We start from the raw sequence: 25,913 nt of genomic DNA, 5'->3' as shown, positions 1-25,913 counted from the left end.
TATTCTAAATAAAGAAGTGCTGCAAAGAACTCAAGATAGCACGGTTTTGAATTATTTAAGAGCTATTCCAGTTCCCTTGGGTTTGCTGTGAAAAAGACAGACATATATACAACTATGTTAGTCAGGATTCTTCAGAAAAACAACCAATTGAAGATTATATATATAATCTAATATCTTGAAAGAGTTTAACAAATTGACACACAAGATTGTTGGAGCTGCTAAGTCTGCAATCTGCAGGGCAAGCCAGCAGGCTGGTGACCCAGGGAAGAGTTGATATTGATCTTGAGGCTGAATACAGTCTGGAAGCAGAATTTTTTCCTTTTTAGGGAACTTTAGTCTTTTTTCTTAAGGCCTTCAACTGATGGGATAAGCCCACTCATATTATGGAGGATAATCTATTGATTTGCATATTAATCATATCTAAAAACACCTTCGCAGCAATGTCTAGATTGATGTTTGACCAAACAACTGGGTACCACAGCCTAGTCATGTTGATAAGTAAAATTAACCATCACACCATCCCTCATAAAATTTATAGTCATCAACATTTAAGTATCAATGTGGCTCTCTAGTGATAGAGTCAGAGTTTAATATTCATGTATCTTGTCCTACCATTTCATAAAATTAGTAAACATACCAACTGGGACATATAGGGGCTGTCATCAGAACATTTGCTTTCAGCCATAATGTAGTAAAAGGGACTAGATTTACTCTCCTGCCTAAAACAACCCCCAAAGCAGAGAAAATACATGAAATAGTGCATTACAAAACAATGGACATCATAAAATACAACACAGTTATCCTGTGAATGTGAGACAAAAGGAAGGAGGAACCCAAGGAGAGCTAGTAGACTTCCCAAGTTGAGAGTCAAGGGAGACCAAGGCGCTGGAGAGTTTCCCAAAGTGTTCAGCAGAGTACATTTGGCTCATGCTTGTGAGGAGACCACCCAAGGCTGGGGAAATAACTGAGAGGAACTGGAGAAACAGTGCATAGTGTCTGCTTTCACCAGCCAGACTGGAAAACCTCATGAGACATGGGGCATTAATAAAATTACTCAGAAGGATCTTGCCTCAGTAGTGGGGGACAAATAGCCTTGGACTAAATACAGCTCTGGCCACCTCCTAAAATAGCTTGTAGTTTATTTAATCATTTTATTCGTTGTTTATCATTCCTATTATAATATAATGTTCCTAAAGACCAGGCTTTTCAATTCCTTTCTTCATTTTTGTGTGTTTAGTGCCTTGAACAGTACCTGCCACTCAATAGGATGTCTGATTTGAAAGTGATCTTGGCTTGGGAAAAGTCCATCAGGTGTGACACAAGGCTCAAGGAAAGTATGAGAAAAGGTGAAACCTCAAATAAAAATTTAAGTAAGAGAAACTAAAGGCTTAGTAACTTCTCATCTGAGGGCCAGAAATGTAACTTCCTAATCATTTCTTGGCATAGATCCACTGAATAGGGCGAGGAGGAGGGTACACATCATTTCTGAAAAAATAAAAAAAATAAAAACACATTTTCCTCTTTGTTGGCATCCCCAGGATGTGGGTTCTCTGAATTGACTCACCTAAACTCTACTCTGCCCTCCTCTCCGTTGAGTGATTGATTGAAAAGGCAAAAATTACATTTCCAAGACCCCCTTTCATCTAGGTTTTAAATGCACTTCTCACCTAAATATCCCTATCTCCCTCGTGTGTATCTTTTTTTTTTTTTTTTTTTTTTTTTTTTTTTTTGAGACTGAGTCTTGCTCTGTCGCCCAGGCTGGAGTGCCGTGGCGTGATCTCGGCTCACTGCAAGCTCCGCCTCCTGTGTTCACGCCATTCTCCTGCCTCAGCCTCCCGAGTAGGTGGGACTCCAGGTGCCCGCCACCACGCCCGGCTAATTTTTTTTTTTTTTTTTTGTATTTTTAGTAGAGACGGGTTTTCACCGTGTTAGCCATTAAATGCATATTAGGTTCTGCCAAATAAATGCACTTACATGAGATTTGGAAGGTAGGTGTAAACAGGGGGCCATTCTCCAGTGGTTCTTGGCTCATGATTTTGGCAAGCAATGTTATGGAAACACTAGGTTTCCCCACAATGTTGTTCTAGTATTCCTTCTCTAGCTTCCTGGGTGTTGAAATGCAATGCTGGCAATTGTCATTTCTTGATATGACATCCTATTCCTTGTATTGAATCTTCAGGTGACTATTCTCCATCTTCTTGGGTGTCCAGAGAGTGTTGGAGTGGCTCCAGCATAGCTACAAGGGCAGGCTCGGAGGTGGTATCTGCCCCCAAAAATCATTTCTGTGTTGCATGAGCATCATTTGAGAAGACCTGCTGCATCATCCCTATCAATAAGGCTGTAAGCACCTGATTTCCTGTATCATGTCTTTTCTAGCTTAAAATATAGTGCTTTTTCCTTCTCAGAATCTTGACTAAAAAAACAGAAAGGAAAGGTGAGAAAAAGAAAAAAATGGAATAAAGATGTCTATGTCACAACAGGAATTTTGCCTTGAGAAAAAGCCCTGGTGAGAGCAATACAACTTTGCTGATCTGTCTCTTTCCTTCCATGGGCTTTCCTCTTCTGGGTCCTGTTTATCGGCCACCCTCAATTTTAATTGCACAGTTGAAGGATGTTTCTGGAGACTGTTATTCTTGGGACCACAGTTGCTGACTTCTGTGGCACAAGCTCTTCTTCCCCACTTGAAAATTAGAATTGCTGGAACCAGTGTCATTATCCCAGCATGCTCCATCATCACCAAGTCATCAGCCATACTAGCTCTTACACCCAAGCTACTGAGCGCTGTTGAAGATACTCACACAAGCTTGCAAAATGGTATAAATAAAAATGAGCAGAAACTAACTTGGCTATTCTCAGCAATGTACAGAAAACTTCTGTTAAATAATTCACCATATATCTCGACTCACATATCTCATAAACACCCAAAACTGCCTGTGCCAAACTCAGCTAATTAACTTCTCACCTAAATATCCCCAACCCCTTCCTGTGTATCTTTTTTTTTTTTTTTTTTTTTTTTTTGGCTGAGTCTCGCTCTGTCTCCCAGACTGGAGTGCAGTGGCGCGATCTCGGCTCACTGCGAGCTCTGCTTCCTGGGTTCACACCATTCACCTGCCACAGCCTCCCAAGTAGCTGGGACTACAGGCACCTGCCACCACGCCTGGCTAATTTTTTTTTTTTTGTATTTTTAGTAGAGACGGGTTTTCACCGTGTTAGCCAGGATGGTCTCGATCTCCTGACCTCGTGATCTGCCCAGTCGGCCTCCCAAAGTGCTGGGATTACAGGCGTGAGCCACCGCACCTGGCCACTCTTGCGTATCTTAAGATGACACACCATCCATCAGAAACGTAGGCATTATTCTTGATTTTCTTCTCTCTCACTCTCTGCATTTAAAATTTTGTCAGTTTTGATGTTTTTATGTTTCTGTTTTAAAAATCTACCTGCCCTTTTCACCCTTTGCCACTGTGTTTTCCGGCCCCCATTTTCTCTCATTTGGATTATTTCAACAATCTTCTAACTGCTCTTCTGACCTCCTATCTTGCTCTTCTAATCTATTTTGCACACTGTAGCCAAAGTGATTTTTCATGTCTCTCCTATTGCTCTCAAGAGTATGTCACACGTCCTTAATGTAACAATGAACAGCACCCATTCTTTGTGCTTTCATAGACACTAGTGCTTTTCTTCATCAGAGCACCCACAGAATGATAATATGATTGCCCATGAGAGGAAATAAAATTTGAGGATTTTAAACAATATTTTTACCAAATAGCTAGTGAAACATTTCTGAGAGTGTGAGCATGTCTCTAGAAGAGATTAGCATTTGAATCAGTGGACTGAGTAAAGAAGACCTGCCCTCATCAATGTGAGTGGATATCATACCATTCCTATTTACCTTGACAGTTTTATTTCTAGAGCTATATCCTTTCAGTTTGCCTTGCAGCCAAAAAAAAAAAAAAAAAAAAAAAAAAAAAAAAAGACTTCCATTTAACTACTGGGTCAAATGCTGTCTGATCTTTGGATCTTTTGCATGTGCCCTTTCTCTATGGCGTGCTCTTCTTTACCCTCCATGCCTTGCCTCTGCTCAGAAGTGATTTTTGGCACCTATTCTTTGCGCTTTCATAGACACCAGTGCTTTTCTTCATCCAAGCACCCGCAGAACTATAATATGACTGCCTGTGAAAGGAAGTAAAATTTGAAAATTTGAAACAATATTTTTTCTTCCCTGAAATTGTTATTTTTTGCCCTGCAGGTCTCCATTTATTGAAGCTCAGATACCATTGCTTCAAGGTGCGAGCTGGTATAACTGAAAGCAAAGAAGACATTGCTAAGTTGAACATTTTAACTAGTTTTAAAAAAATTGTTAAAACAGCATTGCAGAAACAATAGTCTGGTAAGCAAGGCTTTCATTTGCAAGAACTTTACAAGAGAAAAAGGATATGCATGACTTAAATAGCCCAAACTTGAAGTACAGAGTCTTTAGTATAAGCCAGTACTTCTGAAGGTATACTCTGTGGACCTCTGGATACTGGCATCAAATGCCCTCGTAGTCATTGTATTCTTCATCACCAAGGAATTACGTTTTTTTTAAAAAAATAGCTTCAGAATGTCCTTGCTGAAGCAGTAAAAAATTAATTTTATTAAATTTTGATCCTTGAGCGCACATATTTTTCAATATTCTGCGTGGTGAAATGGGAAATATATAGAGAGCACTTCTGCTATGTACAAAAGTTCCGTAGTTGAACAACTGTATGGCAATAAACTAGGTAACTTAGATAAAATGAAAAATTTCTAGAAAGACCCAAACTACCTGAACTGATTCAAGAAAGACCAAAAAATCCGAATAGACTTATAACATGTAAAGCGATTCAAATTGTAATACCAACATTCCCATGAAGGAAAGCCCAGGACCAGGTGACTTCACTGGTAAATGCTGTCAAATATTTATGTAATTAATACCAATTATTCACAAACTCCTCCAATAAATAAAAGATGAGAGAACACTTCCCAATGCATTCTATGAGGCTAATTTTATCCTGATACCAAATCTAGGCAAATACATTACAAGAAAAGAAAACTACGGATCAATGTCTTTTATGAATATAGACACAGAATTCCTCAACAAAACACTAGCAAATCAAATCCAGCAGTATATTAAAAGGATTACACTCCATAACCAAGTATGATTTATTCCAAGAATACAAGCCGTTTTGACATCTGAAAATCAATTAATGTAACACACCTCATCAATAGAATAAAGAACAAAAACCATATGATCACCCCATTATAAGCAGAAAAAGCATTTGACAACATTCTATACTTCTTCACAGTAAACACAGTTAATAAACAAGAAATAGAAAGAAATTTATGCAACCTACTAAAGGGCATCTATGAAACACCCACAACTAACTAATGTGGTTAATTGTTAATGGGGTAAGACTGAATGCTTTCCCTCTAATATGTGAAACAAGAGAAAGCTGTTCTGGCCACTTCTACTCAACATTATACTGTTAGCTTTAGTAAGGGCAATTAGGGAAGTAAACAAAATAAAAGGTGTCCATATTGGAAAGGAAGAAGTACAACTATCTTTATTTGCAGATGATGTAATTTTATATATAGAAATTCCTAAGGAATCCACTAAAAAACTATTAGAACTAATAAATGAGTCTAGCCCATTGCTGGACGCATGAGCAATATACAAACATAATTATATTTCTATGCACTTGCAATAAATGATCTGAAAATTAAATTAGGAAAGCAATCACATTAACAATGGCGTCAAAAATAATGCAATGCTGAAGAATAAATTTGGTGAGAGAAGTGCAAGAGTTGTACACTGAGCACTAAAAAACATTTTGCTTTAATTAAAGAAGGCCTGGATAAATAAAAAGATATCCGATACTTGTGGGTTGAAAGACTTAAATAAAAAGATATGCCATACTTGTGGATTGAAAGACTTAATATTGTTAAGGTAGTTATATTAACTAGAGTTCTCCAGGGAGACAGAACCAACTGGAACAGTAGATGGATTGATAGATAGAAGATAGATAGATAGATAGATAGATAGATAGATAGACAGACAGATAGATGAAAGGGGATTTATTAGAATTGGCCCAAGCAATTATGGAGGCTGAGAAGTTCCACAACAGGTGTATTAGTCCATTCTTCATACTGCTATAAAGAACTGCCCAAGACTGGGTAATTTATGAAGGAAAGAGGTTTAATTGATTCACAGTTCCACATGGCTGGGAAGGCCTTAGGAAACTTATAATCACGGTGGAAGGCAAAGGGAAAGCAAGGCAGCTTCTTCACAAGGCAGCAGGAAGGAGAATGAACACGAGGAACTAACAAAAACTTATTTATTTATTTATTTTATTATACTTTAAGTTTTAGGGTACATGTGCACAACGTGCAGGTTTGCACACATATGTTTATTGCGGCACTATTCACAATAACAAAGACTTGGAACCAACCCAAATGTCCAACAATGATAGACTGGATTAAGAAAATATGGCACATATACACCATGGAATACTATGCAGCCAAAAACTTATAAAACAATCAGATCTCATGTGAACTCACTCACTATCATGAAAACAGCATGGGAAAAACTGCCCCATGATCCAATTACCACCACCTGGTCTCTCCCTTGACACATGGGGATTATGGGGATTATAATTCCAGATGAGATTTGGGTGGGTACACAAAGCCTAACCATATCAACAGGCCATCTTTAAGCTCAAAACCCTGGGATGCCTGTAACATGGTTCAGTCCAAGTCTAAAATGATCAAAACCAGAAGGCTGGTGTAATTCTCAGTCTGAGACCAAAGGCCCGAAAACTTGAAAAGTTGCTGGTGTTAACTCCTGGAGTCCCAATGTTGCAGAGTCTGGAATTCTGCTTTCTAAGGGCAGAGGAGGAGAGTGTAGCCTAGGTCCTGGAGGGTGAGAGAAGAAATCCTTTCCCCTCTTTTTTTGTTGTTCTAGTTGGGCCCCAAGGTATTGGATGGCACCCACCCACATTGAGGGTAGATCTTCCCCACTCAGGCCACTGACTCACATGTCAACCTCCCCTAGAAACAACCTTATAGACACATCGAGAAGTAATGCTTTACTAATTATCTAGGTATTTTTTAATTCAGTCGACACCTAAAATTAACCATCACAGTAGCAGTACTCCCAAAATTAATCTACAGATTCAAGACAATTCTTATTAGAATAACAGCTGTTTTTTTTTTTTTTTTTTTTTTTTTCAGAAACTGACAAATTAAAATTCACAGTCAGGTACAGTGGCTCACGCCTGTAATCCCAGCCCTTTAGGAGGCTGAGATGGGGGAATTTCTTGAGGCCAGGAGTCCGAGACTAGCCTGGCCAACATGGCAAAACCCTGAGTCTACTAAAAATACAAAAATTAGCCAGGCATGGTGGCACATGCCTGTATTCCCAGTTTCTTGGGAGGCTGAGGCATGAGAATTGCTTGAACCCGAGAGGTGCAGGTTGCAGGGAGCTGAGACTGTGCCATTGTACTTGAACCTGGGTGACAGAGCAAGACTCTGTCTCAAAAATAAAATAAAATATAATTCACATGGAAATTCAAGGGACCTATTATAGAAGAGCCAGAACAAGTGTGCAAAAAGAACAAAGTGAGACTCTCATTTTTCTCTTATTTCAAAACTTACCACAAAGCTACAGTAATCAAAACTGTATGACACTGGCATAAAGAGACATATAGGCCAATGGAACAGAATTGAGAATCCAGAAATAAAACTATACATCTGTTGTCAACTGGTTTTTAAAAAGTGTACCAAGACAACTCAATGGACAAAGAATAGTCTCCTCAGCAACCAATGCTAGCACACCTGGATAGCCACATGCAAAAGAATGAATTTGGACACCTACCTCACCATGTATATAACAATTAATACAAAATGAATTGAAGGCGTAAATTAAGAGCTAAAACTATAAAACTTATAGAAGGAAACATAGATGTAACGCTTGTGGACCTTGCCTTAGGCAATGGTTTTTTAGATATGACACCAATACCACAAGGGATGAAAGTAAAAATAAACAAGAAATCATGAAATTTAAAAAATGTTATGCTTCAAAGAATGACATCAATAAAAAGACAACCCACAGAATGGGAGAAAACATTTGAAAATTTTAAATCTGATGAGAGTTGTATCTAGAACATATAAAGAACTCCTACAATCGAATAATACAGAGATAAATTGAGTTTATAACTCGATTGACATTTATAAATGTGCAAATAATTAGAAAATACATTTCTCCACTGATGATATACAAATGGCTAATAATCACATAAAAAGATACTCAACATTATTAACCATCAGGGAAATGCAAATAGAACCATTGTGAGGTACAACTTCACACCCACTAGGACGGCTAATATAAAAAAAGACAGATAAAGACAAGGGTTAGAGAGGATGAAGAGAAACTGGAACCCTTACACACTATTGGTGTGAATGATAAATAGTGCAGCTGCTTGGAAAACAGTCTGGCAGGTCCTCAAATGATTGAACATAGAGTTATCACATGATTTAGCAATGGCAATCTTAGTTATATACCCATGAAAAATTAAAATATATCTCCATGCAAAAACTTGTACAGTAATGTTCTTGGCAGCATTGTTTAGCCCAAAATGGAAGCAGCATCAGCTGTTTGAGGCCTTATGGCCAAACAATATTTCATCATATAGATAACCTAGATCTTAAGTTGGCCATAAAAGTGAATGAAGTACTGTACTGATATATGTTACAACTTAGATGAACCTTGAAAACATTATGGTAAGTCAAAGAAGCCTGTTACAAAAACCACGTGATTTTATTTATATGATAGTCTAGAATAGATAAATCTATAGAGACAGAAAGTAGATTAGTGGTTGCCTATCACTGGGGAGGATAGAGGAATTGGAAGATGATGGCTGAAGCGTATTTGGTTTCTTTGGCTGGTAATTGAAACATTCTAAAATTGATTGTGGTTATGATGTACAATGTACAACTCTGTGAATATACTAAAAATCATTGAAATGTACAATTCAAATGGGTGAATTGTGTGAATTTTATCCTGATAAAGCTATTAAAAAATGTCATGACTGTCCAAAGGAAAAGCACTTTTTTTTGACTTGTGAGCTGGACCAGACACTATTTTTATGAAATATAATTTTTGAGTGACCAATTGACAAATAAGCAATTGTTATTAAGACTTGGATATTTGGCAAACATCTTGTCTTGGAAATGAATTACATGAGCTTATAACTTCAGGGAAAACAACTGACAGTATTTGTTTCCAATGGTAAATTTGAGTTTTCAAGTGAAAATTAGAATTATCCTTGAAGACTTGTATCTACTACCTTGAACTTCACTGCGTCCCAATACATAAAGACTTTGCTGATGATATATTAACAAATGTGAGTTTTTGATATGGTATAGTGAAATGCATCAGCATTTGAATGATCCACATAACTCAGTGAACCAATATTTTCAAATGAGCCATGCATGATACAAAATTATGTATGTGTAAAAAGATCTATTTGAGATGTAAGAAAGTCCAACAAATTTTAACATCATAAAGTTTAAAAAGTTTGTTAATTTGGCTGTTCAGATGCCACCTTACAACAAACTTTAAGAAAATACCACTTATCAATGTTAGCTCAATGTAAAAGAAGCATACACCCTAGAATCTAAAAAGGCTATGATAGTATTTCTCCCTTTTCCAATTACATATCTGTGTGACCAGATTTCTTTCAAACAGCATATTGTATCACATTGCATACAGAAGTCAAGATGAGAATACAACTGTCTTCTATTAAGCTAGATATTATAAATTGGCAAAAATGTAAAACCATGCCACTTTTTTAAACTAATTTTTTTGTTTTGAAAAATTGAGTTGGCTGGGCTTGGTGGCTCATGCCTGTAATTCTAGCACTTTGGGAGGCTGAGACGGGTGGATTGCTTGAGCCCAGGAGTTCAAAACCAGCCTGGGCAACAATGTGAAACTCTGTTTCCACAAAAAATACAAACATTGATGCCTGGGAAAGATGGCTGAGTAGGAATAGGTCCGATCTGCAGCTCCCAGTGAGACCAATGCAGAAGGCTGGTGATTTCTGCATTTCCAACTGAGGTACCCAGCTCATCTCATTGGGACTAGTTAGATAGTGGGTGCAGCCCACTGAAGGAAAGCAGAAGCAGGGTAGGGGTGTCACCTCACCCAGGAAGTGCAACAGGTTGGGGAACTCCCTCCCCTAGCCAAAGGAAGCCATGAGGGTCTGCGCTGTGAGGGACGGAGCTATCTGGCCCAGATACTATGCATTTCCCACTGTCTTCACAACTCACAGACTAGGAGATTCCCTCGGGTACCTATACCACCAGGGCCCTAGGTTTCAAGCACAACCTGGGCATCCATTTGGGCAGACACTGAGCTAGCTGCAGGAGTTTTTTTTCATACTCCAGTGGCACCTGGAATGCCAGCAAGACAGAATCATTCACTTCCCTGAAAAGGAGGCTGAAGCCAGGGAGCCGAGTGGTGTTGCTCAGCAGATCTCACCCCCATGGAGCCCAACAAGCTAAGATCCACTGGCTTGAAATTCTCGCTGCCAGCACAGCAGTCTGAAGTCAACCTGGGACACTCGAGCTTGTTGTGGATGTGGGCGGGTGTGTGGGGTGGGGGCATCTGCCATTACTGAGGCTTCAGTAGGCAGTTTTCCCCTCACAGTGTAAACAAAGCCACCAGGAAGTTCGAACTGGGCAGAGTCCACCGCAGCTCTGCAAAGCTGCTGTAGCCAGACTGCCTCTCTAGATTCCTCCTCTCCGGGCAGGGCACCTCTGAATGGCAGCAGCCCCAGTCAGGGGCTTAGAGATAAAACTCCCATCTCCCTGGGACAGAGCACCTGGGGGAAGGGTCAGCTGTGGGCGCAGCTTCCGCAGATTTAAACATTCCTGCCTGCGAGCTCTGAAGAGAGCAGCGGATCTCCCAGCACAGCACGCGAGCTCTGCTAAAGGACAGATTGCCTCCTCAAGTTGGTCCCTGACCCCCATGCCTCCTGACGGGGAGACACCTCACAGCAGGGGTCGACACACACCTCATACAGGAGAGCTCCAGCTGACATCTGGCAGGTACCCCTCTGGGACGAAGATTCCAGAAGAAGGAGCAGGCAGCAATTGTTGCCATTCTGCAGCCCTTGCTGGTGATACCCAGGCAAACAGGGTCTGGAGTGGACCTCCAGCAAACTCCAGCAGAGCTGCAGAAGAGGGGCCTGAGTGTTAGAAGGAAAACTAACAAACAGAAAGGAATAGCATCAAGATCAACAAAAAGGATGACCACGTGACAACCCCATTCGAAGGCCACCAACATCAAAGACCAAAGGCAGACAAATCCATGAAGATGAGGAAAAACCAGTGCAAAAAGGCTGAAAATTCCAAAACCCAGAATGCCTCTTCTCCTCCAAAAGCTGGCAACTCCTCACCAGCAAGGGAACACAACTGGATGGAGAATAAGTTTGATGAATTGACAGAAGTTGGTATGAGAAGGTGGGTAATAACAAACTCCTCTGAGCTAAAGGAGCATGTTCTAACCCGATGCAAGGAAGCTAAGAACCTTGATAAAAGGTTACAGGAACTGCTAACTAGAATAATCAGTTTAGAGAAAAGCATAAATGACCTGATGGAGCTGAAAAACACAGCACGAGAATTTCATGAAGCACACACAAGTATCAATAGCTGAATCGATCAAGCAGAAGAAAGGATATCAGAGATTGAAGATCAACTTAATGAAATAAAGCATGAAGACAAGATTAGAGAAAAAAGAATGAAAAGGAATGAAGAAAACCTCCAAGAAATATGGGATTATGTGAAGAGACCAAACCTATGTTTGATTGGTGTACCTGAAAGTGATGGAAAGAATGGAACCAAGTTGGAAAACACACTTCAGGATGTTATCCAGGAGAACTTCCCCAACCTAGCAAGACAGATCAACATTCAAATTCAGGAAATACAGAGAACACCACAAAGATACTCCTTGAGAAGAGCAACCCCAAGACATATAATTGTCAGACTCACCAAGGTTGAAATGAAGGAAAAAATGTTAAGGGCAGCCGAGAGAAAGTTGGGGTTACCCACAAAAGGAAGCCCATCAGACTAACAGAGGATCTCTCTACAGAAACCCTACAAACCAGGCCAACATTCAACATTCTTAAAGATAAGAATTTTCAACCCAGAATTTCATATCCAGCCAAACTAAGCTTCGTAAGTGAAGGAGAAATAAAATCCTTCACAGACAAGCAAATGCTGAGGGATTTTTGTCACCACCAGGCCTGCCTTACAAGAGCTCCTGAAGGAAGCACTAAATATGGAAAGGAAAAATTGGTACCAGCCACTGCAAAAACATACCAAAATATAAAGACCATTGACACTATGAAGAAACTGCATCAAGTAATGGGCAAAATAACCAACTAGCATCATAATGACAGGATCAAATTCATGCATAACAATATTAACCTTAAATATAAATGGGCTAAATGCCCCAATTAAAAGACACAGACTGGCAAATTGGATAAAGAGTCAAGACCCATTGGTGTGCTGTATTCAGGAGACCCATTTCATATGCAAAGACACACATAGGCTCAAAATAAAGGGATGGAGGAAGATTTACCAAGCAAATGGAAAGCAAAAAAAAAAAAAAAAAAAAAAAAAAGAGCAGGGTTTGCAATCCTAGTCTCTGATAAAATAGACTTTAAACCAACAAAGATTAAAAAAGACAAAGAAGGGCATTACATAATGGTAAAGGGATCAATGCAACAAGAAGAGCTAACTATCCTAAATATATATGCACCCAATACAGGAGCACCTAGATTCATAAACCAAGTATTTAGAGACCTAAAAAGAGACTTAGACTCCCCCACAATAATAGTGGGAGACTTTAACACCCCATTGTCAATATTAAACAGATCAACGAGACAGAAAATTAACAAGAATATTCAGGAACTCAGTTCTGAATACCTTGACAATCATCTCTGGACCAAGTGGACCTAATAGACATCTACAGAGCTCTCCACCCCAAATCAACAGAATATACATCCTTCTCAGCACCACATAGCACTTATTCTAAAACTGACCACATAATTGGAAGTAAAATACTCCTCAGCAAATGCAAAACAATGGAAATCCTAACAAACAGTCTTTCAAACCACAGTGCAATCAAATTAGAACTCAGGATTAAGAAACACACTCAAAACCACACAACTACATGGCAACTGAACAACATGCTCCTGAATGACTACTGGGTAAATAACAACATTAAGGGAGAAATAAATAAGTTCTTGGAAACCAATGAGATCAAAGACACAACGTACCAGAGTCTCTGGGACACAGCTAAAGCAACGTTTAGAGCTGTGTTTATAGCACTAAATGCCCACAAGAGAAAGCGGGAAAGATCTAAAATAGATACCCTAACTTCACAATTAAAAGAACTAGAGAAGCAAGAACAAACAAATTCAAAACTAGCAGAAGAAAATAAATAACTAAGATCATAGCAGAAGTGAAGGAGATAGAGACACGAAAAACTCTTCAAAAAATCAATGAACCCAGGAGCTGGTTTTTTGAAAAGACTTAACAAAATAGACTGCTAACCAGACTAATAAAGAAGAAAGGAGAGAAGAATCAAATAGATGCAATAAAAAATGATAAAGCGGATATCACCACTGATCCCATAGAAATACAAACTACCATCAGAGAATACTATAAACACCTCTACACAAATGAACTAGAAAATCTAGAAGAAATAGATAAATTCCTGGACACATACACCCTCCCAAGACTAAACAAGGAAGAAGTCGAGTCTTTGAATAGACCAATAACAGGTTCTGAAATTGAGGAGTAATTAATAGCCTACCAACCAAAAAAAGCCCAGGGCCAGATGGATTCACAGCTGAATTCTACCAGAGGTACAAAGACGAACTGGTACCATTCCTTCTAAAACTATTCCAAACAATAGAAAAAGAGGGACTCCTGACCGGGTGCGGTGGCTCACGCCTGTAATCCCAGCACTTTGGAAGGCTGAGGTGGGTGGATTATGAGGTCAGGATATTGAGACCATCCTAGCTAACACGTGAAACCCCGTCTCCACTAAAAAAAAATACAAACAAATTAGCTGGGCGTGGTGGCAGGTGCCTGTAGTCCCAGCTACTCAGGAGGCTGAGGCAGGAGAATGGCTTGAACCCAGGAGACGGAGCTTGCAGTGAGCCTAGATTGTGCCACTGCACTCCAGCCTGGGTGACAGAGTGAGACTCCATCTCCAAAAAAAAAAAAAAAAAAAAGAGAAAGAAAAAAAAGAAAAGGAGAGATGTCTCCCTAACTCATTTTATGAGGCCAGCATCACCCTGATACCAAAACCTGACAGACAACAAAAAAAGAAAATTTCGGGTCAATATCCCTGATGAACATCAATGCAAAGATCCTCAATAAAATACTGGCAACCCAAATCCAGCAGCACATCAAAATACTTATCCACCATGATCAAGTCAGCTTAATTCCTGTGATGCAAGGCTGGTTCAACATGTGCAAATCAGTAAACGTAATCCATCACATAAAAAGAACCAATGACAAAAACCACATGATTATCTGAATAGATGTAGAAAAGGTCTTTGATAAAATTCAACACTGCTTTATGCTAAATACACTCAATAAACTCAGTATTGATGGAACGAATCTCAAAATAGTAAGAGCTGTTTATGACAAACCCACAGCCAATATAATACTGAATGGGCAAAAGCTGGAAGCATTCCCTTTAAAAACTGACACAAGACAAGGATGCCCTCTCTTACCACTCCTATTCAACATAGTATTGGAAGTTCTGGCCATGGCAATCAGGCAAGAGAAAGAAAAAAAGCATATTTAAATAGGAAGACAGGAAGTAAAATTATCTCTCTTTGCAGATGACATGGTTGTATATTTAGAAAACCCCATCATCTTAGCCCAAAAACTCCCTGCTGATAAGCAACTTAGGCAAAGTCTCAGGAAACAAAATCAATGTGCAAAAATCACAAGCATTCCTATATGCCATTAATAGAAAAACAAAGAGCCAAACCATGAGTGAACTCCCATTCACAATTGCTACAAAGAGAATAAAATACCTAGGAATACAACTTACAAGGGATGTGAAGGACCTCTTCAAGGTGTAACCTCAAATCACTGCTCAAGAAAATAAAGAGAGGACACAAACAAATGGAAAAACATTCCATGCTCATGGATAGGAAGAATCAATATAGTGAAAACGGCCATAATGCCTAAAGTAATTTATAGATTCAATGCTATTCCCGTCAAGCCACCATTGACTTTCTTCACAGATTTAGAAAAAACTTCTTTAAATTTCATGTGGAACCAAAAAAGAGCTGTATAGCCAAGACAATCCTAAGCAAAAAGAGCAAAGCTGGAGGCATCATGCTCCCTGACTTCAAACTATACTACAATGCTACAGTAACCAAAACAGCTTGATACTGGTACCAAAAAAGATATATAGGCCAATGGAACAGAACAGAGGCCTCAGAAATAACACCAAACGTCTACAACCATCTAATCTTTGACAAACCTGACAGAAACAAGCAATGGGGAAAGGATATCCTATTTAATAAACGGTGCTGGGAAAACTGGCTAGCCATATGCAGAAAACTGAAACTGGACCCCTTCCTTACACCTTATACAAAAATTAACTCAAGATGGATTAAAGAGTTAAACATAAGACCTAAAACCATAAAAACCCTAGAGAAAACCTAGGCAATACCATTCAGGACACAGGCATGGGCAAAGACTTTATGACTAAAACACCAAAAGCAATTGCAACAAAAGCCAAAATAGACAAATGGGATCTAATTAAACTAAAGAACTTCAGCACAGCAAAAGAAACTATTATCAGAGTGAACAGGCAACCTACAGAATGGGAGAAAATTTTTGCAATCTATCCATCTAACAAAAGGCTAATATCCAGAATCTACAAGGAACTTAAATTTACAAGAGAAAAACAACTCCATCAAAAAGTGGGCGAAGGATATGAACAGACACTTTTCAAAAGAAGATATTTATGTGGCCTACAAACATATGAAAAAAAGCTCATCATCACTGGTCATTAGAGAAATGCAAATCAAAACCACAATGAGATACCATCTCACACCAGTTAGAATGGTGATCATTAAAAAGTCAGGAAACAACAGATGGTGGCAAGGATGTGGAGAAATAGGAATGCTTTTACACTGTTTTTGGGGGTGTAAATTAGTTCACCCATTGTGGAAGACAGTGTGGCGATGCCTCAAGGATCTAGAACCAGAAATACCATTTGACCCAGCAATCCCATTATTGGGCATATACCCAAATGATTATAAATCAGTCTACTATAAAGACGCATGCACACATATGTTTACTGCAGCACTGTTCACAATAGCAAAGACTTGGAACCAACCCAAATGTCCATCAATGATAGACTGGAGTAAGAAAATGTGGCGCATATACAGCATGGAATACTATGCAGCCATAAAAAAGGATGAGTTCATATCCTTTGCAGGGACATGGATGAAGCTGGACACCATCATTCTCAGCAAACTAACACAGGAACAGAAAAGCAAGCACCACATGTTCTCACTTATAAGTGGGAGCTGACCAATGAGAACATATGGGCACAGGGAGGGAGAACATCACACACCCAGGCCTGTCAGGGGGTGGGGGGCAAGGGGAGGGATAGCATTAGGAGAAACACCTAATGTAGATAACAGGTTGATGGGTGCAGCAAACCACCATGGCACAAGTATACCTATGTAACAAATCTGCACATTCTGCACAGGTATCCCAGAACTTAAAGTATAATAAAAAAAAAATAAAATAAATAAAATGAAAAGATACAAAAATTAGCTAGGTGTCTTGGTGCACGCCCGTGGTCTCAGCTACTGGAGAGGCTGAGGTGGAATGATCACTTGAGTCTGGGAGGTGGAGGTTCCAGTGAGCCAAGATTGTGCCACTGCACTCCAGCCTGGGTAACAGAGGGAGATCCTGTCTCCAAAAAGAAAAGAAAAAAGAAAGAAAAAAATAAAAGAAAAAAAGTTGAGTTATTTTTCCCAAAATGTTATTTGAGTTATGTTAACTAGTAATAAATTTATTATTTTTAAATTAACGTGTAAATAAATATTTTAAAATTATCTCAGATTTGATTTCTAACACATCAAATATTAATATATGTATACCATCTTACACCAGTTAGAATGGTGATCACTAAGAAGTCAGGAAACAACAGGTGCTGGAGAGGATGTGGAGAAATAGGAACACTTTTACACTGTTGGTGGGACTGTAAACTAGTTCAATCATTGTGGAAGACAGTGTGGCAATTCCTCAAGGATCTAGAACTAGAAATACCATTTGACCCAGCAATCCCATTACTGGGTATATACCCAAAGGATTATAAATCATGCTGCTATAAAGGCACATGCACACGTATGTTTATTGCAGCACTATTCACAATAGCAAAGACTTGGAACCAACCCAAATGTCCATCAATGATAGACTGGATTAAGAAGATGAGGCACATATACACCATGGAATACTATTCAGCCATAAAAAAGGATGAGTTCATGTCCTTTGTAGGGACATGGATGAAGCTGGAAACCATAATTCTCAGCAAACTATCACAAGGACAAAATACCAAACACTGCATGTTCTCACTCAGAGGTGGGAATTGAACAATGAGAACACTTAGACATAGGAAAGGGAACAGTCACACATTGGGGCCTGTTGTGGGGTGGGGGGAGGGGGGAGGGAAAGCATTAGGAGATATACCTAATGTAAATGATGAGTTAATGGGTGCAGCACACCAACATAGCACATGCATACATATGTAACAAACCTGCAGGTTGTGAACATGTACCCTAGAACTTAAAGTATAATAAAAAATATATTAATATATGTAATCTGCACAAAAGCCCTTTGAACTCCCCACATTTTTTACAAGTGTAAAGGATCTTGAGACAAAACTGTTGAGTGGAAACAGGCTATGTCAAGGCATTTATCATGCAGAAGGAGGTTGGAAGTCCTTATCAGCTGGGGTAGGACCTTGGGTTGGGGAGGGAGAGGAGAGTAGCAGAACAGAGTGTAGAGCTTGTTCCGTGCCTCCACCTCAGGGTTTGCACCTTTAGTTGGGAAAATAAAGACTAGTCAGAGAGGTTGGAAGATAACAAAAACAAAGTGCGTTTGTGCCTGGCTTTCCATCTGAGAGGCTGTGGAGAGATGCCCTGCAGAGTGCCTCTCTCCAATGGGAAGTGGTTGTAGGAGTTTACCCTCCTTGATTTTCTGAAGCCTATGATTGGCATGAGGAAGATGCGGATGTGTGTGCCTGACCCTCTGGGGTTTGTGGAATGTGGCTGATAGCGTAGGGCCAACTCGCTGGCAGTGGGTAGCCCAAAGCTGGGGGCCAGTTAGGGGTCTTGGGAAAGATGCAGAAAACCAGCAATTCCCGCAAGGGCCATGCCCAAGCTTAGTCCTCAGTGGTGGGGAAGACCTTTGCTCTTGACAGTGCAGGGAGAACAGCTTGCACTCCGACACTCCAGACACTCCAGCTGAAAGAGGCTGGAAGGAGAGATGCTCATAAGCACAGCCAAGTGGGTGGAACACATGGGAAGAGTCACTTCTCTCTTGTCAAATTCGCTTTCCTGCATACTCTGAGAGGCGAATACCCTAACCTCTGGGAGAACCAGAGACTAAACTAAATTGGAAGAGGGTTTTGTTTTCTTTTAAATGCAAATGTGAATAAGTTACTGTGAATAGGTAACCTACTTTGTTTTCTACTATTGAGTGGAGACCTACAAACAAATTAGGTTTATAAAGAAATAAAGTGGCAGGGCGCGGTGGCTCACGTCTGTAATCTCAGCACTTTGGGAGGCCGAGGTGGGCGGATCACGACGTCAGGAAATAGAGACCATCCTGGCTAACACGCTGAAACCCCGACTCTACCAAAAAAAAAAAAAAAAAAAAAAAAAAAAAAAAAATTAGCCGGGCGTGGTGGCGGGCGCCTGTAGTCCCAGCTACTCGGGAGGCTGAGGCAGGAGAATGGCGTGGACCCGGGAGGCGGAGCTTGCAGTGAGCCGAGATCGCGCCACTGCACTCCAGCCTGGGCGACAGAGCGACTCTCCATCTCAAAAAAAAAAAAAAAAAAAAAAGAAGTAAAGTTACATCTGAGTTGTGACTGTCTTCTTGTTTATCTCTCCTGCTAAATCTTAAGTTCCTATGGCACGTTTGTGTTATATTCATTGTCGTATCTCTAGAATTTAGGCTTACATTTGTTCACTTAAATATTTGTTTATTGAATAAAGAATAAACTGATTTAGAGATCTTGATTCTGTTGTATATTTGCCCTTCTTAACATACAAATAAGTTTATGCAACCAACATGACCAGACTGAGACCAAAGCCCCATTACTTTCATGATAGTCAGGTCACGTCTCTCTGCTCAAAGCCATCCCATATCTTCCTGTGATCCTCTGAGAAAAAGTTCACAGAGGCCTTCCAACATGCCCACAAACTAGTTCTTCTTTCTGAACTACATCTCTCCCTACCTGCTCATTTCATTTCAGCTGCACTGGCCTCTTTGCAGATCTTAGTATATATGAGGCATGATCTGCTTTGAACATCTGTTCTCAAATGTCAGCCTGTATAACCCCCTCACTGCAGTAGAACATGTCCCTGGTTGGCTTGGACTGACCTGTCTCTCTCAGACTACTAATTGTAATACTTAGAATAGCTGTAGAATGTACCAAGAATGCAATGTCCTGAGATAAGAAGGAACTCTCTGGAACAGCCCAGAATATATCCTTGTTCCTCCTAGAACAGAATGTCTTACAATGCTTGAACTCAGTGGTCCAAGTAGCGTCCAGGGTATAAAACCCAGGGCATGGTGCATGCTTTGGGGGTCTGTTAGCTGCTGTTTGGCAAAGGGCACATACAGGTGAGAGTCCAGCCACCATGAGCAGCTTTCCTGAGCCTTGGGAGGTTGGCTCGCCATGGATCTTAGGCTTTTGTTTGTTCTTGCTGCCTATCTGTGAGTAATGAATCTGCTTTGCCTGATGTCTTGTGTGTATTCAGAGTCATCAGGCTCATACAAGTGGTAGAGAACCTTTGCACTCATCTCCTTCTAGTCTGTACTCAAATACCACTTCTCATTGAAGCCTTCCCTGACTAATCTTTTAAAAAGTGCAACCTCCCTGACCCTACCCAGGAACCCATTTCCTGCTTTATTTATCCCATAAAAACTTTCTGTTTTCCCTTTCTAAAATGCTCCATGAGGAAAGAGTATTTTTAAAAATTTCTTATTTATTTATTTATTTATTTAATTTTTTGTTTCCTTAGGTTTTGGGGGAACAGGTGATATTTGGTTACATGAGTAAGTTCTTTAGTGGTGATTTGTGAGATTTTGGTGCACCCATCACCCGAGCAGTATATATTGAACCCAGTTTGTAATCTTTTATCCCTCACCTCCTTCCTACCTTTTCCCCCTGAGTCCCCAGTGTGTATTGTATTATTCTTACACCTTGGCATTTTCATAGCTTAGCTCCCACCTATGAGTGAGAACATACGATGTTTGGTTTTCCATTCCTGAGTTACTTCACTTAGAATGATAGTCTCCAATCCCATCCAGGTTGCTGCAAATGCCATCAATTCATTCCTTTTTATGTCTGAGTAGTATTCCATCATATCTATATATGTACACTACAGTTTCTTTATCCACTCGTTGACTGATGGGCATTTAGGCTGGTTCAATGTTTTTGCAATTGTGAATTGTGCTGCTATAAACATGCATGTGCAAGCATCTTTTGATTTTGTTGGGTTAAACTGAGTGCTGGTTCTCTTCTAGAGCCCTATTTCTAGAAATCACCCCAAATTTCCTCTCTTCTGGCACACACCCCTGCTCAGCTCCCCTGAATTCTATTCTCTTCCTATTTTGAATTTTGGTTTTAAACCTTTTCTAATTGCCAGTCCCTTGTAGGTGTTCATGCAGCTTATCTAGAAAGTCTTATCTGCCATCCCCAGAACAGCTTCATTTATACTCTGTTGAATCATCCATTTTCTGAAAAAAGCCTTTATTTCTTTCATGTCACTGTCACTTCTCACACCACACCCCCAGTCACACATCCAGTATGCTGTTGGCAGCCTTCTCTTGTCTCGTCTGTCATGTAATCTGATTGTCAAACAAGTTGTCACTCACTACAAATGTTAGCATATTGAATTCTCTCATTTACATTGCAAGTACTCTTAGCCCAACTGGATTAAGGCCATTTGACATACACATTTTTGGATTTTTTTTTTTTCCAGGATGGATGGAAAGTGGAGTGGGAGGTTGAGTAAGGATGGGAGTGAGGCACGCATAGTAATTATATACAGTGAACTCAGGAACCGCCACAGCTTTTTATTTATTTATTTATTTATTAAGCATTGGCAGAGATTTAAAAAAATCACTTAGTCTATTGCCTTAATTTATGGAAATGAGCAAATGCTGGCCTATGGATAGCAATTTCTTTCTCAAAGTCCCTGACAAATAAGTTGTAGAGATGGGAGCAGAGATCAGGTCTTCTATTTCTCAAGCCAGCTTTCTAGGTTACCAGGCTTTCTCCCAACAAGGATATTTTAGGAAACTCCTGAAATATGTCTATATCCAATGAAACTTGGAAACCCTTTTCTTCTAAGCACTATCTCTCCTCTCTCCTCTTTATTAGTTCTTTTCATTTTAATTGAGTGGAACTTAAGAAGTCATTTAACTACTTAGTCCTTAGTTTTAATCATGAAGACACCATCATAGGGTGTCATTGGTAGAACCAAAGTAAAACTGTTTTGTTTGATTTGTAGTTCACTGCTTTTTTTTTTTTTCACTGGGATACACTGGTTTTCTGTGTGGCATTGAGGTTAATTATCAATTCCCAGCTATAACTTGTGGGGTTAATGTACAACGTGGTCATGTTAAAACAGAATTTGTATTATGTGGAAAATGTGTATAAATGATTTGAATAAGTTTCTATAGCAACATTATTAGCTTATTGGTAACATTGGGAGTCTGTTCTATTATAATACTGTCCTAAGTTGAATAGGAACAAATATAAAAGTATTCAAATAAGAGTGATATGTTTACCTTTCTTTTCATAGAGCAGCCTGGAAACACTCTGTTTGTAAAGTCTGCAAGAGGATATTTGGACCTCTTTGAGGCCTTCATTGGAAACGGGATTTCTTCATATACTGCTAGACAGAATAAATCTTAATAACTTCCTTGTGTTGTGTGTATTCAACTCATAGAGTTGAAACTTCCTTTAGACAGAGCAGATGTGAAATACTCTTTTTGTGATATTTGCACGTGGAGATTTGTAGAGCTTTTAGGCCAAAGATAGAAAAGGATATATCTTCGTATAAAAACTATACAGAATCATTCTGAGAATCTACTTTGTGATGTGTGCGTTCAATTCACAGAGTTTAACCTTTCTTTTCATGCAGCAGTTTGGAAACACTCTGTTTCAAAGTCTGCAAGAGGATATTTGGACCTCTTTGAGACTTTCCTTAGAAAAGGGATTTCTTCATGTAATGCTAGACAGAAGAATTCTCAGTAACTTCTTTGTGTTGTGTGTATTCCACTCACAGACTTGAACCTTCCTTTAGAGAGAGCACATTTGACACACTCTTATTGTGGAATATGCATGCAGAGATTTCAAGCTCTTTCTGGCCAAGGGTAGAAAAGGAAATATCTTCGTATAAAATCTAGACAGAATCATTCTGAGAAACTACTTTTTGATGTGTGCGTTCAACATACAGAGTTTAACCTTTCTTTTCATAGAGCTGTTTAGAAACACTCTCTTTGTAATATCTGCAAGTGGATAATTGGAGTTCTTTGAAGCCTTCGTTGGAAACGGGATTTCTTCATATAATGTTAGACAGAAGAATTCTCAGTAACTTCTTTGTGTTCTGTGTATTCAACTCACAGAGTTGAACCTTCTTTTAGAAGGAGCAGATGTGAAAACCTCTTTTTGTGATATTTGCAGTTGGAGATTTCGAGCGCTTATACGCCAAAAGTAGAAAAGGAAATATCTTCGTATAAAATATAGACAGAATCATTCTCAGAAACTACTTTGTGATGGGTGCGTTCAATTCACGGAGTTTAAACTTTCTTTTGATTGAGCAGTTTGGAGACACTCTCCTTGTAAATTCAGCAAGTGGATATATGGACCTCTTTGTGTCCTTCGTTGGAAACGTGATTTCTTCGTATAATGTTAGACAGAAGAATTCTCAGTAACTTATTTCTGTTGTGTGCATTCAACTCACAGAGTTGAACTTTCCTTTAGACAGAGCAGATTTGAAACACTCTTTTTGTGGAATTTCCATGTGGAAATTTCAATCGCTTTGAGGCCAATGGTAGAAAAAGAAATATCTTCGTATAAAAATTAGACAGAATCATTCTCAGAAACTACTTTTTGATGTGTGCGTTCAACTCACAGAGTTTAACCTTTCTTTTCATGCAGCAGTGTGGAAACACTCTGGTTGGATAGTCCGCAAGAGGATATTTGGACCTCTTCGAGACTTTCCTTAGAAAAGGGATTTCTTCATATAATGCTAGACAGAAGAATTCTCAGTAACTTCTTTGTGTTGTGTGTATTCCACTCACAGACTTGAACCTTCCTTTAGACAGAGCACATTTGATACACTCTTTTTGTGGAATTTGCATGTGGAGATTTCAAGCGCTTTCAGGCCAAGGGTAGAAAACGTAGTATCTTCGTATAAAATCTAGACAGAATCATTCTGAGAAACTACTTTGTCATGTGAGCGTTCAACTCACAGAGTTTAACATTTCTTTTCATAGTGCTGTTTAGAATCACTCTCTTTTTAATATCTGCACGTGGAAAATTGGACCTCTTTGAGGCCTTCGTTGGAAACGGGATTTCTTCATATACTGCTGGACAAAGAATTCTCAGTAACTTCTTTGTGTCCTGTGTATTCAACTCACAGAGTTGAACCTTCTTTTCAATGGAGCAGATGTGAAACACTCTTTCTGTGATATTTGAAGTTGGAGATTTCAAGCGCTTATAGGCCAAAAGTAGAAAAGGAAATATCTTCGTATAAAAAGTAGACAGAATCATTCTCAGAAACTACTTTGTGATGTGTGCATTCAATTCACAGAGTTTAACCTTTCTTTTGATTGAGCAGTTTGGAAACACTCTCTTTGTAAAGTTTGCCAGTGGATATTTGGACACCTTTGAGGCCTTCGTTGGAAACGGGATTTCTTCATATAATGTTAGACAGAAGAATTCTCAGAAACTTATTTGTGTTATATTTATTCAACTAGCAGAATTGAAACTTCCTTTTGACAGAGCAGATTTGATACACTCTTTTTGTGGAATTTCCAGGTGCAGATTTCAATCGCTTTGAGGCCAATGGTAGAAAAGGACATATATTCGTAGAAAAACAAGAGAGAATCATTCTCAGAAACTACTTTGTGATGTGTGCGTTCAACTCGCCGAGTTTAACCTTTCTTTTCATAGAGCAGTTTGGAAAAACTCTCTTTGTAAAGTCTGCAAGTGGATATTTATACCTCTTTGAGGCCTTCTTTGGAAACGGGATTTCTTCATATAATGCTAGAAAGAAGAATTCTCAGTAACTTCTTTTTGGTGCCTGTATTCAACTCACAGAAGTGAACCAACCTTTAGACCGAGCAGATGTGAAACACTCTTTTTGTTGTGTTGGGTATAAACATGGAACATTGCAAACAATGGGCCACAACACTTCACTCTTCCCTGTATATATGCCTTTTGCAAAGTGATCCTGCTGGCCTTGGGCCTTACTTTGGCCAATAGAATGCAGCAGATGTGACAGTGTGCCAAGGCCTCAAGAGTCTTTGAATGTGTCTCAGGCCTCTTCCAAATTTAGGCCTTGATAAGGCATAGAAACCTGCTCAGACATCATGAGAACAAGTCTCAACTACCCTGCTATAGGATGAGAGACCATGTATAGCAGAGGTAAGTCATCCCAGCTGAGACCATGCTAGACCAGCCATCTTCTGGCTAACCTAGCAAATGACCACAGATGCATGCATGAGCCCAGTGAAGATCAGAAGAATCAACCAGCTGAGCCTAGCCCAAATTGTTGACCTGCAGAATTACTGTTTTAAGCTACTAAGTTTTGGTATAGTTTCATATGCAGCTAACTGATAGAAAGGAAATAGCTAGCTATTTGCTACAATAGCTAACTGATAAAGAATAGGAAGTCTTTTCTAGTGAATTCATTTATAATGCTGTATCTGAGACAAAGCAGGGCATTATTTAAGGATGGATCTGTCTGTAGTCCAAAGCTCAGTTATAATTTTAGTTGGAAAATTACAGACTTGCTTGTTCTGAGTGTTGGTTCCATTTTGGCTTCAAAGGTTAGCTCTAGTAGTCTTTTTTGGAACCATGGAAACATAAGAGAATTTTTGTTTTATTTGTACTATGTAAATAAGAACATATTTTAAGTCTGTGATGGAAATAAAAGTAGATGAGGAATTAGAAAACTTAAGAGTTTTCTTGATCTTGGCACTGATACCCTGAGGCTGTGTCTACCTCACCAGTGCAGACGACTCTGCCCATGAGGGTAGCTTTCAGGCTCTCTCCTTGTCAGTAGTTTGAATGAAGTAAGGGCGATGTAGAAAATGACCATCCAGACAGATGGATAAAAAGTTAATAAAAACAACAGCAAAAACACTTTGTCTTCAAGTTTAGTAGTCAAATTGTATTGATTGAGTCCTTTAAGGGTATCATTATTTGTCTTGATTAAAACTATGAATGATACACTGGCAGAGAATGTAGTGTATAAGTAAGAAACCCACAGAACTGTGCAAGTGTCAGCCTTCCTTTGTAAACTCAGCTGTTCCTC

General features: G+C 39.3%; 1 long non-coding RNA gene across 1 annotated transcript, besides 4 other annotated features; it reads left to right on the top strand.

Moving 5' to 3' along the window:
* Window positions 1–1,237: 1,237 nt before the first annotated feature.
* LOC101927237 (uncharacterized) lies at window positions 1,238–5,933 on the top strand. The gene is made up of 3 exons (NR_110747.1): window positions 1,238–1,346; window positions 2,180–2,340; window positions 4,247–5,933. It is a non-coding gene; the product is annotated as an uncharacterized LOC101927237 (long non-coding RNA).
* Window positions 21,970–22,723: an enhancer, noted in NCBI's record as "OCT4-NANOG-H3K27ac-H3K4me1 hESC enhancer chr4:68266233-68266986 (GRCh37/hg19 assembly coordinates)". NCBI's record gives its function as "activates a minimal SCP1, AML or CMV promoter by ChIP-STARR-seq in naive and primed H9 embryonic stem cells {active_cell/tissue: H9 hESC(naive and primed)}" and the evidence as "EXISTENCE:reporter gene assay evidence [ECO:0000049][PMID:30033119]".
* Window positions 22,724–23,479: an enhancer, noted in NCBI's record as "OCT4-NANOG-H3K27ac-H3K4me1 hESC enhancer chr4:68265477-68266232 (GRCh37/hg19 assembly coordinates)". NCBI's record gives its function as "activates a minimal SCP1, AML or CMV promoter by ChIP-STARR-seq in naive and primed H9 embryonic stem cells {active_cell/tissue: H9 hESC(naive and primed)}" and the evidence as "EXISTENCE:reporter gene assay evidence [ECO:0000049][PMID:30033119]".
* Window positions 23,480–24,235: an enhancer, noted in NCBI's record as "OCT4-NANOG-H3K27ac-H3K4me1 hESC enhancer chr4:68264721-68265476 (GRCh37/hg19 assembly coordinates)". NCBI's record gives its function as "activates a minimal SCP1, AML or CMV promoter by ChIP-STARR-seq in naive and primed H9 embryonic stem cells {active_cell/tissue: H9 hESC(naive and primed)}" and the evidence as "EXISTENCE:reporter gene assay evidence [ECO:0000049][PMID:30033119]".
* Window positions 24,236–24,991: an enhancer, noted in NCBI's record as "OCT4-NANOG-H3K27ac-H3K4me1 hESC enhancer chr4:68263965-68264720 (GRCh37/hg19 assembly coordinates)". NCBI's record gives its function as "activates a minimal SCP1, AML or CMV promoter by ChIP-STARR-seq in naive and primed H9 embryonic stem cells {active_cell/tissue: H9 hESC(naive and primed)}" and the evidence as "EXISTENCE:reporter gene assay evidence [ECO:0000049][PMID:30033119]".

The sequence above is a fragment of the Homo sapiens genome, chromosome 4 (genome assembly GCF_000001405.40).
Source record: "Homo sapiens chromosome 4, GRCh38.p14 Primary Assembly".
Classification (NCBI taxonomy): Eukaryota; Metazoa; Chordata; class Mammalia; order Primates; family Hominidae; genus Homo; species Homo sapiens.
The sequence above is the reverse complement of the archived record's forward strand: the minus strand, read 5'-3'. Positions and strand labels throughout refer to the sequence as shown.